The sequence below is a fragment of the Homo sapiens genome, chromosome 7 (genome assembly GCF_000001405.40).
Source record: "Homo sapiens chromosome 7, GRCh38.p14 Primary Assembly".
Lineage (NCBI taxonomy): Eukaryota > Metazoa > Chordata > Mammalia > Primates > Hominidae > Homo > Homo sapiens.
Window position 1 is genome coordinate 42,010,799 of NC_000007.14, and position 13,821 is coordinate 42,024,619.

Genomic DNA, 13,821 nt, shown 5'->3' on the forward strand with positions numbered 1-13,821 from the left:
AGCAAACCACTCACTAATGAGTTTAGTGGCCTTCAATATGTTTTTTAGCCTTGCTAGACCTCCTTGTAGTTGGTTAGGTCATTTTTAAGATTCCACAACTAGGAGGGACCACAGCAATAATGTCCAGGAAGGAGGACACAAACCAGCTACTAAAAGAGGATTATGTTCATTCCTACAGAACAGAACAGAACCTACACCCCATTCCTCTGAATCACCATTTAGAAATAAAATGTGGTCAATCTACCAGTCTATTTTATTTGTCTGAGTCCACCTAGCCTAATGCTTTGACTATTCAGTCCCACTTTGTTTAGGGGAAATGTGGCCACTGTAGATGTGGCCACTGTAGATGTATGGAGTTATTTGCTGGGTAATGCCTGTGTACCCACAGATAGCAGTGTCATAGAGCACTCCACAGCCAGACTGAGTCCCCAGCCCAGGGGAGCTTAGGCAGCACTCAGGCAAGAAGGGGTGGTACTGAGGGAAGCAGAATGAAGTTAAAGGTGAGACCACCTGAAAAAGGCAGAGCCTACAGCTTAAACCCTGCCATAGCTTTAGCAGTTTCTGAAATAAAGCAAAGAGAATCACCATATGGCCCAGCAATCCCACTTCTAGGGATATACCCAAAAGAACTGAAAACAGGTGTTCAAGCATGAACTTGTAAATGAATGTTCATAGTAACACAATAGCCAGAAAGTAGAAACTCAAATATCCATCAACGGATGCACGGATAAACAAAGTGTGGTATAGCCAGCCATCCAAGAGAATATTATTCAGCCATAAAAAAGAACAAAGCACTGATACCTGCCACAGCATCAATGAACTTTGAAAACATGGTAAGTGCAAAAAAGGCAGACATCGTACAAAAGGTCACATTTTGTATGATTTCATTTATAAGAAATATCCAGAATAAACAAATCCATAGAGACAGAAGGCAGGTTGGTGGTTTTCAGGGGCTGGCGGGGAGGGGGAATGGGAGGTAACCGCTTCATGCATACAGAGCTGCCTTGTGGGGTGATCAAAATGTCCTGGAAGTGGACAGTGTTGGCGGTTACACAACACTGTGACTGCGCTCAATGCCACACAGAACTGCAAACTTCAAAATGGACAAAATGGTAACTGCTATGTGATATGTATTTTACTGCAACATGTTTATGCTAGCCCAGTGAGTACACTGGCCAGATCCCTGGCCGGGGCCATCATCTCTCCTCTCTTCCTCCCCGACTTCCTGCTGGTCCTCACCGCTCGTGCCTCTGAGCAGAAAGGATAAACCTAATGAGCCCAAGTGTCAGCGCAATATAAATTACGGCCAGGGGAAAAAAGAAACGACTTGATGCATGGCCGAGGATCTAAGAGAGGAATGTCCACCATTGTTTGTGATTATGGATCACGTCACAATCTAATAGCCATTTTTATTTAATCAATAATTTCCATGCTGAACAGACAGCCCTGTTACAGAGAATCGACAAGCAGGTACTGATAGCGACAAGCCTCGTTATTAATCTTTCCTCTGCCGGCTTATCAGCCAAACTACTGTAAAAGGCACCACCAAGATGGATTTTAGAATCCACCTTGCTCCTCTCCCCCCTCCCTTTTCTTCTTCTCTCTCCTGTAACATTTCATGTAATGCAGACACTACATTTACTTGAGTAACCTGGGGCTTGTGTAGCATAAAAAGGCAGTTCACGTTAAGCAATTTCACAAATCAGTAGGACCTAGACCATTGCTCAGGGTTAGCCATTATAGGCTAATAAATCATACTTTCTCTTTGAGTTGTCAATCGCCAAAAAGCTTTGTACAAGTGCTGGCATCTGTAATTCCGTAAAGGCTTTTCATCTTAAAATAAGATGCTCTGGACTGATAACAAGAATAATCCCCTCTTGATCAAGAAAAAAAAAATCTGCATTATATCAATTAAAGCTACAGCCAGAAGCCAAATGGCTCAGTACTGAGATTCCAGTGAAGTTTATCTCTGCTAAACACGAGGAGGAATACAGTGAGGGCTGTGTTTCACTTGCAGCTTGACTGCTTTATCTTGTGGTAGAAACTGCACCAGAGGAACCTGTGCAAACTCTCCCTGCCCCCAGGAAAGGCCACCAGGAAGACCTCCTCTTCACAAACTGGGCTCTCCCGCATGTCCTAGAGAGCTCCTTGGGACAGGTCACATGTGCTGAAGCACAAGGGAGAGCCTAAAGAAACACCATGTCCCTTTAGGCAGGTAGAGCAGCCGAGATAAGATTGGGCCGGTTATGTTAGAGACATGGTTGACCGGAGAGAGTCCTGTGAATCTAACAGAAGACAGCTGGTGCAGTTTTGTTTTCCTGATTAGAAAGACATTTTCATTCCTGCCAAACAGATCAGGAACTACATCCCATTCATCTGAATCACCACTTAGAAATAAAATGTGGTTGACCTACCTGTCTATTTTATTTGTCTAAGCCCACCAGACCTAATGCTTTGAATATTCATTCTCTGTATTCGTCCAAAACAATCCTGCCCTGATTGGAAGAAAAGTGGCCACTGTAGATGTATGGAACTATTTGCCAGGTGATGCCTGTGTGCCACAGGATTATATATTCATAACTAGAAAATAAGACACACCTTATTTTTTTTTTTTGAGACAGTCTCACTCTGTTGCCCAGGCTGGAGTACAGTGGTGCAATCATAGCTCATTGCAGCCACCTCAGCCTCTCAAGTAGCTGGGACTACAGGTGTGCCTCACCATGTTCGGCTAAATTAGTATTATTATTGTTATTTTGTAGAGATAGGGTCTTGCTATGTTGCCCAGGATGGTCTTGAACTCCTAAGTTCAAGTGATTCTCCCACCACGGCCTCCCAAAGTGCTGGGATTATAGGCATGTGCCACTCGCTTGGCCTGGCACATCTTATTTTGCACAAAGCAAAATAATGACAAAGGAAAAATGATAACAATCACAATAAAAGCTAACTGGCTCTAAAAACTTGACTAGCACTGTAGTAGGTATCTCCCATAAACTATCAGAGATAATTATCCCAACGACCCTGATAATCCTGTTTTAAAGAAAGATAGCAGAATCTTAGTACCCTTTGGTAAAGAGCCTGATGCCACACAGGCAAGACACAGAGGTTCCATGGGTAACGTCTCCTCCCAGCACTCAGCCAGCAGCCCTGAAGCTTCTGACTTCTCTCTGGATATCATGCAGAACATCCACATCAGCTGCTCAAACTGTACTCGTAAAACATCTCCAAACTATCCTCCCAAATTTTAAAAAATAATTTCAAATAACTTCCACTGCAGAGTCTCACTTCTGGCCCTACCCCAGTCTAACCTTGCCCTCTTTAATACACTGTACTTGCAACTTGCCAGGTTTTGCAAGGCTCAGCCCCATCTTTCTAAAGCTGATGCTGGCTCAAGCCATTCCTCTCATCAAAAGCATTTAATTATCCTTACTCCACCTGGAATAAAAGTCAGACTCCTAGTCTAGCAATCACATCTCCCATGACATGGTGCTACTCGGCTCTTTAATCTTACTACCCACTACCCTTCTGCCTTCCGGACATACTTTGGTTCTGCTCTAACTGCATTACTTATCATACCACTCTTCAACCAAAAAGCATAAAACAAATCATTTGTAATTATATTTCTAATTCAAAGAGATGCCAAAAACCTCAGTCTTTTATTATATTAGCTATAATCATAGATAAAATTTTCCCATACTTTCTGTACCCTTTAACTTCTTCCTGCTGTCTTCTCCACATAGAATCCCCAATGCCTTTCTGCAATGGTCTTTCTGTGTTTACATCCACCAGTTTATTCCATACCATGCTCATATCCAATCTCCATGAGATGTATCTTTCATTCCTTCTTCTGTGCCTTCACCTTACTCATTTTCCCACTGTCCTGCTTGTACATCGATAGTACTCATAACAGCCTGCCCTGTATGCTCCCCTTACTCAAAGGGATAGCCCCCAACCCCAGCACCCTAGATCGGACATGCATGAAGCGTTTTCTTCTAGCTGCTATGCCTGCAATTTCTGTAGTGGCCACCAGGTGGTGACGATGGATCAACAGCAGATGAGTAAACAGGTAAGATGAACAGCAGCCTGCATAGGCGAGCCTGTGCAACTGAAATCAATGGTATACTTATGACTATTTTTAAATGTTCATAAAAGTGCACTTAATCTCTCCATTCTTCAGTTGAGTGAGTTTATTAGTACTACTTGCTATGGATTTTTCCTTATGTTTGAATAAAGCTTTTGAGTTTACAAAGTACTTCCATTATAGGATCTCATTCTATCCTCATAAACAAAAAACAAATTAAAAAACCCAGTGAAGAACCTAGAATGGATATTATTATCTCCACTTTACAGATGAGACACGGAGGATTTACTGCAGGGTGACTTACTTAAATTCAGAAACAGTTTCTGGCAGATGTAGGAATGAAAGACAGATCTCCAACACATTATCTGGTGTTCTTCCCATCCCCCACTCACTGATTAATGCTGGTTTTACTGGTAACTGGGTGGGGTCGGGTGGAGTTGGTTTAAGTTTAAGGCCTTGGCTTACACATTGTCTCCTGAGGATATCCCATTTACAGTTCTCTTCTCTTGCAACATTAATTGTTCTAGAAAAAATAAAAATGCCTCCATGGTAGTATTTGGCTAATCCCAGAGAAGCCTAAATATCCCCAAATCTTAAAAAAAAAGTCCTCGCATTAGAAAACTGCTTTCTGTTCCCGGAGCTCTGTTTTATGTCAAAGCAGGAGCCTGATCTCCAACTCTGCTTGCTATGATCTCAGAAGTTGGAGTCTGTGTGACTTCCCTAGGCCTGAAAAAAAAAATAGTGATGGAGTTTCTCCACCAAGAAAACGGGCTTGGCTGGTTATGGGCCTTACTGAGAACTACTGTGTGCCTAACCTTAGCAAATGTGGTTTTTAAATTAAGCTCTGCCAGTTTACACACGCACACACACACACCCACCCCCCCACACATAGGTATATTTAAGTAGCTTCTTACTAGAGACATTTTAATGAGATCATCTCTTATTTCTAATCTGAACATTCTAAAGAACATTTAAACAGGAGAAACTTTTTCTTTAATCACAATTTTTTTTTGTTTTTCTTACGTGTGTTTTTCTTTCTCCACACTACGCGACAAGAGGAAATATTTAGGGCAGAACTGGGGGCAATACTGTCTCCCAGGGACATCTGACAATGTCTGGAAACAGTTTTGGTTGTCATGACGAGGGAGGGAATGCGCAGGACAGCCTCCCACTATAAAGAACTGGCATCTCATGGGGAGAGGCCTGGGATGCTGCTTAACACCCTACAATGCCCAGGACAACCCCCAACGCCAGAGAATGATCTGCCCTTATGTGCTACAGTGGAGAAACCTTGGTTTGGTGTAACCACCGAAGAAAATTTCCAGAAGGATGTCAGGACACATGAACAGGAGAGATGGAATCTCCGCACTGCAGAAAAGCACAAGGAAGAACCTGCAATGGAAGAAATGAACCCAGAGCGCCGCTCCAGTTCTTCTCTTGCAGTGTTTCATGAACTGGGGGCCTATCGACATCTTTCTGCAATTACTAATTTCATGCTGACATACCAACCCCAACACTGCCTGAATATTAACCTAACCCCTGCTTTTATACGTGACATGCATGGACACAGCAGCCTCTAAATATCTTGACATTTTTCTCTCGTAAGCAGAATCACTAACATTTTATTGAGTATAACTTTTTTAGCTAATTCCCTCACCGTTTTATGTGGTAAAAGTCACTATTTTCCTTGGGAGCAGAGCAGGCCGTGAACCCAGGTCTGTCTGCTTTGAAACACATTCACACTGTACTGCCACTGGGTAATGATGGGAAACAAAATTATTCCTTCAAATCAGGTGCTAATTCTTCTCAAATCATCATCATCACCACCATCATCATCATCATCATCATCACCACCATCATCATTTCATCAGGCCTCAAAAGTTTACCTGCATGATTTACTTTGACCCTAACCATATTTTCCACCTGTTTCCTAGGAGTCTTTTCCAGTATTCCTCTGTACTCCTCCCTCTCTCAGCCCATAGAGTCGCAATACACAATTATGGCTTCTTTATGTTTCACCTCTTGTTGTTCACTATGCTTTTATGTTTCCTTATCTCCTCCTCCCAGTCAGACTGTCCAGTCTTTGAGGGTGTAAATCATGTGTCCACCACAAAGCTGGGGCTGTGGGTACCACATGGGCTGTCCCCAGCCCATGTAGCACCTGCCAGGGCTCTGCACATCTCATCAAGAGCTGTTGAGCAAATGGCTGATCCACTAATGTTGGCTTGTACTTTTCCTAATAAACAGGAGAATACATTATGCCAGCAACATCTGCTATAGGCAAGCATATTCAAATGAGGTATGCAGCCCAGCCCAAAGTGACCACCATTCCCACTTGTCTGGAGTGGATCCATACAGAATATTCCAGGGCACTAACTATTGGCAGAATCTAGAATCTCACCTAAAGTATCATTGAGAACCAGCTAAAAAGCTTTCAATAGGAAAATGTTCCCCAGATGTCAGAAACAGTTACTCGGAGGAAGATTTTGATGAAATATTTCAGGGAGTATACAACGGATGAATGAATTAAGAAAGTAACTAATACATGGCCGCCTCTTAAACTCCACCTGGGGGCAGTCACCCATAACTGTTCACAGCCCCCCGCCACTCCCAGCCCACCCCAAACTCCCTCCCAGGCTGAAAGGGGAGGGGGACTCTGCACAGTACTCCTGGTGGCTGCCAGCCAGCTAGCTCGCACTTGAGGGAGAATCTGTTTACCATCCCTGTCCTAAGGACTATCCAATTCAAACTTTTTGCTTTCTTTGACTGAAACCAAGGTTGAACGAGGCAAGGCCAGGTCTTATTCAGCAGACACACAATGCGGAAGAAAAAGGAAGTCTCTTGGCTTCAGTCTAGCGTACATCCCAGTTTAGCAACAATTAATATAAAATAAGCCACAGAAACCGACAGTGCCACCGCATTCTCCTCCCCCACTCAACCCAGCGAAACACACACATAAAACAATGAGAGACTGAGTGACCTCTTCGAGACCCTCTGTCTGTTTCTCATTAGACCTACTGCATGTGATCTGTGCTTGGCCTTGGACGTTGGGGACAGCGTTTATTTTCATGGCTGTTTCACAGTATGATAAGTGAGAAAATAACGTTCTAAGGGGTCAAATGGTTCTAAGGAGGTCATCCCAAGAGTCAGGGCAGAGATGGGGCTGCCACTCAGAATCCTAGCTGGGCCTGGGGGGCTCTGGCCGGTGGACCACACAGCCCTCACACACCCTCGCAATCAATCTGATCTCCTGAGTGTCTCTTTATGGGAACAATTTCTGCAGGTGCAATTTAGTCAGCAACTTTAAAGAGAACGTGACCCTTAAGGCAAAATTGTCAAAAGATGGCTTTGAAGTTTGTAGTTCTTAGTCTATATTTTATATGCCGTGTTTCCAAATAATTAGAGTAACCGAATTAACTAGCAACTCCATGTAGGGAAAATAAGATCAAAATCTCCACTCATTTGTTTTATGTTTTATGTGCACACAAAACTAATTTCTGCCTCATATCTGAGACCCCTATCGCATCTTAAACTCAATTTTCTCTTAGGTAAGGATAGACAATGCAACTTTAGCAAAGGGATCGAAATTATATGGGAAACATTTAAAATGCAAATTTAGGATCACGGTATTAATGTGAAAAGAATGTCTTCACATCCTAACTCTTCCTTGCGTTTCTACAGACACATCAATTCTTCACAAATTAGATGTGTTTTCTTTATATCTAAATCTCTATATTAAAAAGAAAGCCCCTCATTTTCATGCTGCTGATGTATAGAATTTGTTTCCAAATGGCAGCAAAGGTGATTATGACTGTGTTCTTCTGATAAAGGAAACTTCAGCATGCTTTTAGAGATCAAAATTCGCAGCATATGAAAGCATTTTAAAATCCAAGTAGGTGGTTAATCACTCTACAAAAAGATGAATTTTTGACACAATGCTTCACGGAGACAAATGGAGGATTACAGAGACTTGAACGCCACCCAGTTGAAGCTGGGTGCTAACAGAAATACATCTCACTTTCTCTGCGGTTCTGCCCCACAGGTAGAAGACAACATCCCCCAGTGCGATTGCCAAGGGCCCTGCAGGGTTATGCTGCTGGGGATTGGGCTGGGGAATAAAACTTTTAAAATCATTTGACTTTTTAAAGACCCTTGGGGATAATATTACATGTGTTATTTCTTACACAGAAATACGGGGTTGGATTGTTGAAATTGAGGGTGAAGAGTTGCAGAGTTACAGCAAACAGGTGGACATGAAGTATGGTGATGATACTATTATTCTTTCGATCTCAGCACTGATGTTTTCAAGCATAACCAGCCACTCAGCAGTAATGACTCCACACTGAGATGGAAGTTCTTTATGTTTATTCCTATTCCTCCTCTTAGAAAGCCTCTCAAAACATAGTTGGTATATACAATGTCATGCACAACCAAAGTGTGCAGGTTTCAGAGAACCTGAGACTAACGTGTGCTGCAGGCTGTGCATATTTCAGACACCTCAAACATCAAAGACCCAAAGATGGAACTTACTTCTCGGACAAAATTAAAACATGAGGGAAATGGATCTCCGTGTAGACAGAAAGCATCCTTCCTCCTTGGAAGAAGTTGGGCTGAGCTGTTTTACATAATAAACATAAGCTAAACCAAATAACATCAGCACAAACCAAATAGCATAAACAGAAAGCAAAACCAAACGACACTTTGAGAGTGGATACACTACAACTCTCAGAAACACATTTGAAGTTATGATTCACGTCTTTTATAATATAATGCTCAACAAAAAAAAAGGTCTGGTTAATTTAAAATTGAAGAAAAATATGGACTTTCAACTCATTTTGAGATGTTAGAATGTGTGCCTTTCAAATGGCAAGAGAAAATACTTGCATCTTGGCAAATCAATAATAAATTCAGTCTTCAATGTACTTGGAATTAATTTTCTTTCTATATACTCCTCTTGCTTTTTTGTTTCCTTCAGTTTTAACCGACACCAAGAAAGGGATGAAGTACAAGAACAAAGCTAACAAAAATACACACCTATCTTCTTAGCTTCTGGTCACAGAAGTAAATTTATGACAAATTTAATACTAGCTTGAGAGTAACTAAGCCCAGTTGTAATTATACTGCTGGAAAGAGAAATTAATTAAACATCCCTGTGATAAAGACCCAGCAGCAAACCTAGAATAAACACATAATTGGTGAAGAAGAGGGGCTTGAAATAAAGGAGAAGAGAAAGGAAAGGCGAATGTTTAGCCCATCTGTTCAGATAGTAATGAACGAGGTAATCTTTTCAAGAGTACATGGAGTGCATTACAGTGGAAATCAGACTACCTGGCGGGCAAAGTCAGCCAAGTTTCTAATTCTCTTCTTCAAATCAAATTGTGATTTGCTAATGTGAAACACATGTCTCAAGTTCAAATAACTCTGGAATTCCAACCGTGCAGCTCAACGACTGAACCAGAACAAGGGGAGAACTTGTCAGGATTTAAGAGCTTTCAGCAAAGCCCTTCAATTGCAGCCAGCACCCTATTCCCCGGAAGGATATCAATTATAGATAGTGACTTGCTTTAGCAGGCAGTCGGGACTGTCAGACACTAGATAGACAACCATGAAGAATCATGAATCTTTCTATTAACTGTAAGAGGGGGAAAAAGAATGGGTCACGGCTATAAATAAGGCAGAGCATCAGAATGGTTTAACACCTTGCCTCTTGGTTGTATGTGGCATGAAAATTCAACTAATTCACAAAATGTCCTCTCTCCAAGGAAAGTCACAGGAATGGAAACTGTTAATGCTTCCCTCTGTAAAAAAGTAGTTTTTTCCTGGCTAACACGGTGAAACCCCGTCTCTACTAAAAATACAAAAAATTAGCCGGGCGTGGTAGCGGGCGCCTGTAGTCCCAGCTACTCGGGAGGCTGAGGCAGGAGAATGGCGTGAACCTGGGAGGCGGAGCTTGCAGTGAGCCGAGATCGCGCCACTGCACTCCAGCCTGGGCGACAGAGCGAGACTCCGTCTCAAAAAAAAAAAAAAAAAAAAAAAAAAAAAAAGTAGTTTTTGCAACTGGTATTTATTCTACCACCAAAGTAATTAGGTGGACTTGAAGTAGCTATTCCTTCAATCAACATAATACAAAGCACCTACCTATTCTATAACAGGCCACCATTACTGCTGCCAGATATACTCATGGGTAAGAAAGTACACGCATGTCATGCAATGTAGAATCAATTTAAACATGCAAACTTGGGGTTCCTGCACCTCAGACAGTAAGTAAAAAGGTGGAAAATAAGTGACATAAACTAGTATTCTTATTTATGTTGTTGTAAATTATAATTCTTAATTCATTTAATTAAGTTTATTTACTCATATAATTTATCTCAGACTAAAATTAATATCATAAAGGTAAGATATTAGATTTTCTTCTAATCCTGACATGAATTTCTTCTGGTTAATCTGAAATTAAAATAGTCCACTGTATATGTGCGCATTCATATTTTTTAAAGACCATTTCGATAAAACAGACAATATGGTGGTCATTTAGTTGGTAGTTTTAAGCAGCCTTCCTTTAAAACTACTCAGATCTCTCTATTAAAACATCGAGACCATCGGCCACTGAAATTAAATTCAAATACCTGCAATTTCACCATCTTTTAAAAGCTTTCACATTACTGTATTTAGGTTGTGAAAGGGTTAAGCTACTACCGCACTCCAAAAAATATTACTTCAAACCCTGCCTCTTATGAGGAGCACAATTCATTTTAAATGTAGACTTAGAATAAGCTCTTATTTCATTCCTGATTTGGTAATGACTGAACCAGTATCCAACATTCCTTGCAAACTACAATGACTTATCCTCCAAAACGGCACCATGAGACTGTCACCTTCAGGATATTTTAAAAACCAAGACACCCTGCCAACATCTGTTCTATAATGGCAGCTTTTACACAAACAATTCTCTTCATGTTTGTTGGTCATTCGTTATATCACTAAGGATACACATAGCATATGCTACTCTTTGGGAGTATTTCCCCATAATAAAACAAAAATTCCAAACTTTTCCCCTTTGATATTCCAATGTTTTTGTGATTTCCATTAAAACAGTCAGCAAGAATAAACGGCCATTAAGTCAGGCTTGGCTTCAAAATAACACTTGCATTAAATTAAAGAGAAAGAATCGAATTAAGTTCATGGAAAAATTCTGGAAATATACCTTAATTAAAAACATTTGACTTTTTTTTTCTGTGCTCAGAAATCTATAATTCTTCCCATACAATTACCAGGAGACATGATTTAAAAAGAAATGGAGGGGAGGGACCCTGGCGATGTCATGTAAAATCCTCAAAACATTCTGTATAGAACAGAGCTCAAAATCTGGCAACCTGCGTGCTTAACACTATAATGTAACTGCAATGCGTGGAATACATTACATGGGATGCGCCGAGTTGCAAGAGACACACATTAAAAGTTCACACTGCCTATGAAACGTGTGGGATGTAAGAGGGACTTCATAATTTTAGTGTTTAATCTAAATGGAGGAGGGTTATCAAGAAACATGAATTGCCTAAAAATACAGTTACTGTAAAAAAAAGAATGTACCACGAAAGAGAAAGTGGAGAGAGAAAGAGAAAAAGAGAGAGAGCAGGAGGAGGGGAATCGCAACAAATGCTACTTTGTCCAATTTTTCATATTAAAAGTTTAAAAAACTGCCACACTTAATGCCTCAACAAGACCCTGTGCTTCTGCCAGGAGTTGTAGCACCTGCATCTTTTTATTCTCGATCATCTAAATGCCCTCCACGTCAGCCAATCCTGGTCCCATTTTCCAGGGAAAACTCCACTGGCCTTCAAGAAAGTGCCAAGAACAGTGAAGCACTGGGAAGGGGGTATCACAAATCAGGCATGGGGTGGGGAGAAGGCTTTGTGCACACTGCATTTTTTGAAATGATATGCAGGAGAGTGTGTAAAAATTTCTGAACCTGGTTTGGGAGAGGAGGTGTGGTTCTCAATCTGACCATGCTGCAGTTTCCAAAACATCCATCACTAAATACATTTAAAAACACTTACAACTTTTTCCATGAAACTACTAACCCCACAAGGGCTGGCCTCAAACCAAGAAATTATGCTACCTAGCTCATATAGAGTACTAACTGCAGCTTAAAAGAACGGGAGCTTCCTTAGGCTTTGAGAGTTTGGGAGAGGAAAAAAGAAATCCCTCATCTCCACATTTTTTCCATTGTTACCGGGTCTTGGAAGGGGAATCAAACTTGTTTAAAAGGTTAATCATAATTCATGTCCAGCTTACTATTACTCAATAACCATCAAAGTCGCTAACTCAAAATAGTGTTTTCTGGCTTACAGGATCAGAGTCATTACACTCTCTATTGAAGACTTTATTGAATTTTACACTCAGCTTTAGCTGACTGAACAGGTCAAGCACCGTGGCTCCGAGTTTTCTTTATTCTCAGAAAGTCATAAAGCCCTCTCCAGTTCGCAATGCGGCTCCTAAGAAACTTGACTCAGCTCAGGGTCAGAGAGGCTGACCTCCCTGGAAAGTGTCACAGAGCTGTAAAGCTCGGTTCCTGAATACCATCCACTTACGTGCACAAGCTGCTCTTGGGTGTCGAACTCCCTCGCGCAGCCTTCCCAGTGGCAGTTTGTCTCATAGATGACTTCAGGCTCCTGTTTGCTTTCATCTTTGTCCCCTTCCTCCTTGACAAGGGTTGTTCCTTCGGGCTGTTCCTGAAAGAAGAGGGTGGGGGGCAGGGAACAGAGAAGGGGGAAGAATCAGACACAACAGGAGGGAAGACAAGAAGAGAAAGTAAAAACCCAATTTAGATTTGGGTCTAGGGTTTTGTGAAGTGAAGAAGTCAAACAATAAAATCATATCTGTGCATATTTTCAGATTTACCAAATACACTCTGAGAGTTTTAAACGTCTGATTCAAGGCAACAGCCTGTCAAAATTATGAATTAAAAGTTGAGGTCAAACTTTGCTGCCCTGATTACAAAGCTGAAAATAAACCCAAATGTCATCTAAAAAAAAACCCAAAACAAAACGTAAAACAAACAAACAAAAAACAAAACAAAGCTCATAAGAGAATAAATCAAATCAGGTCTTTACCCAAAAGATTGGTACTTCTATTTTGTTTAGTTGTTTTAATTATTTTTGGTCTGTTACTTTGTTTATTCTTATATTTTGTAATCCAGGGAAATGGTTTACTAGTACTTCTAATGCTGTTTTCGCTGCTGTTGGAGACTGTGTGAGACACTTTTGTAGACTTTATAGGGATAATGCCCTCTCGATTCAACCTCTGATCTCTAAGGATATGCTCACTACCCAGGGCCCAGGGGCCACAGCATCAAAGCTCAGGGGCACAGTCCTTCCTAAACCCCTGTGGCAGCTTCACAGCAATGCCAATACAAGTCATTTTGAGAATTCATCTTGTGTAGATTCAGGTCCCAATCCAGGGCTAGATGATAAAAGCCATATGCAGGCATTGAAGTGTAACCAGCAAGGTTGTTGCTGTCTGGCGATATGCAAGAGGAAAGATCCATTTCAGAGCCCGTGACACAATTTACTCCAGCCTCCACGTTCTTGCTGAAAAGGAAATTTGGGCAAGCAGTCTGAGGTTTGGGCTGAAGCAGCCTGATGACAGCAAGGTCCAGATTCTGTGGACATCTGGACTCTTGTCCAATCTCTATGGTGGGGAATTAGCATTCATAGAGCTCCTTCCTGCATCAGGCTGAGAGC

The 13,821-nt window shown here is 41.4% G+C and overlaps 1 protein-coding gene across 8 annotated transcripts in view; it reads right to left on the bottom strand.

Moving 5' to 3' along the window:
* Positions 1 to 13,821, bottom strand: part of GLI3 (GLI family zinc finger 3) — a 303,320-nt gene that overhangs the window by 49,850 nt on the left and 239,649 nt on the right. For all 8 annotated transcript variants that reach the window (XM_047420208.1, XM_047420207.1, XM_047420205.1 and 5 more), the window contains one exon: positions 12,670 to 12,810. In XM_047420208.1, the coding sequence (XP_047276164.1) occupies positions 12,670 to 12,810 (141 nt within the window). The remainder of the gene's footprint in view (positions 1 to 12,669; positions 12,811 to 13,821) is intronic.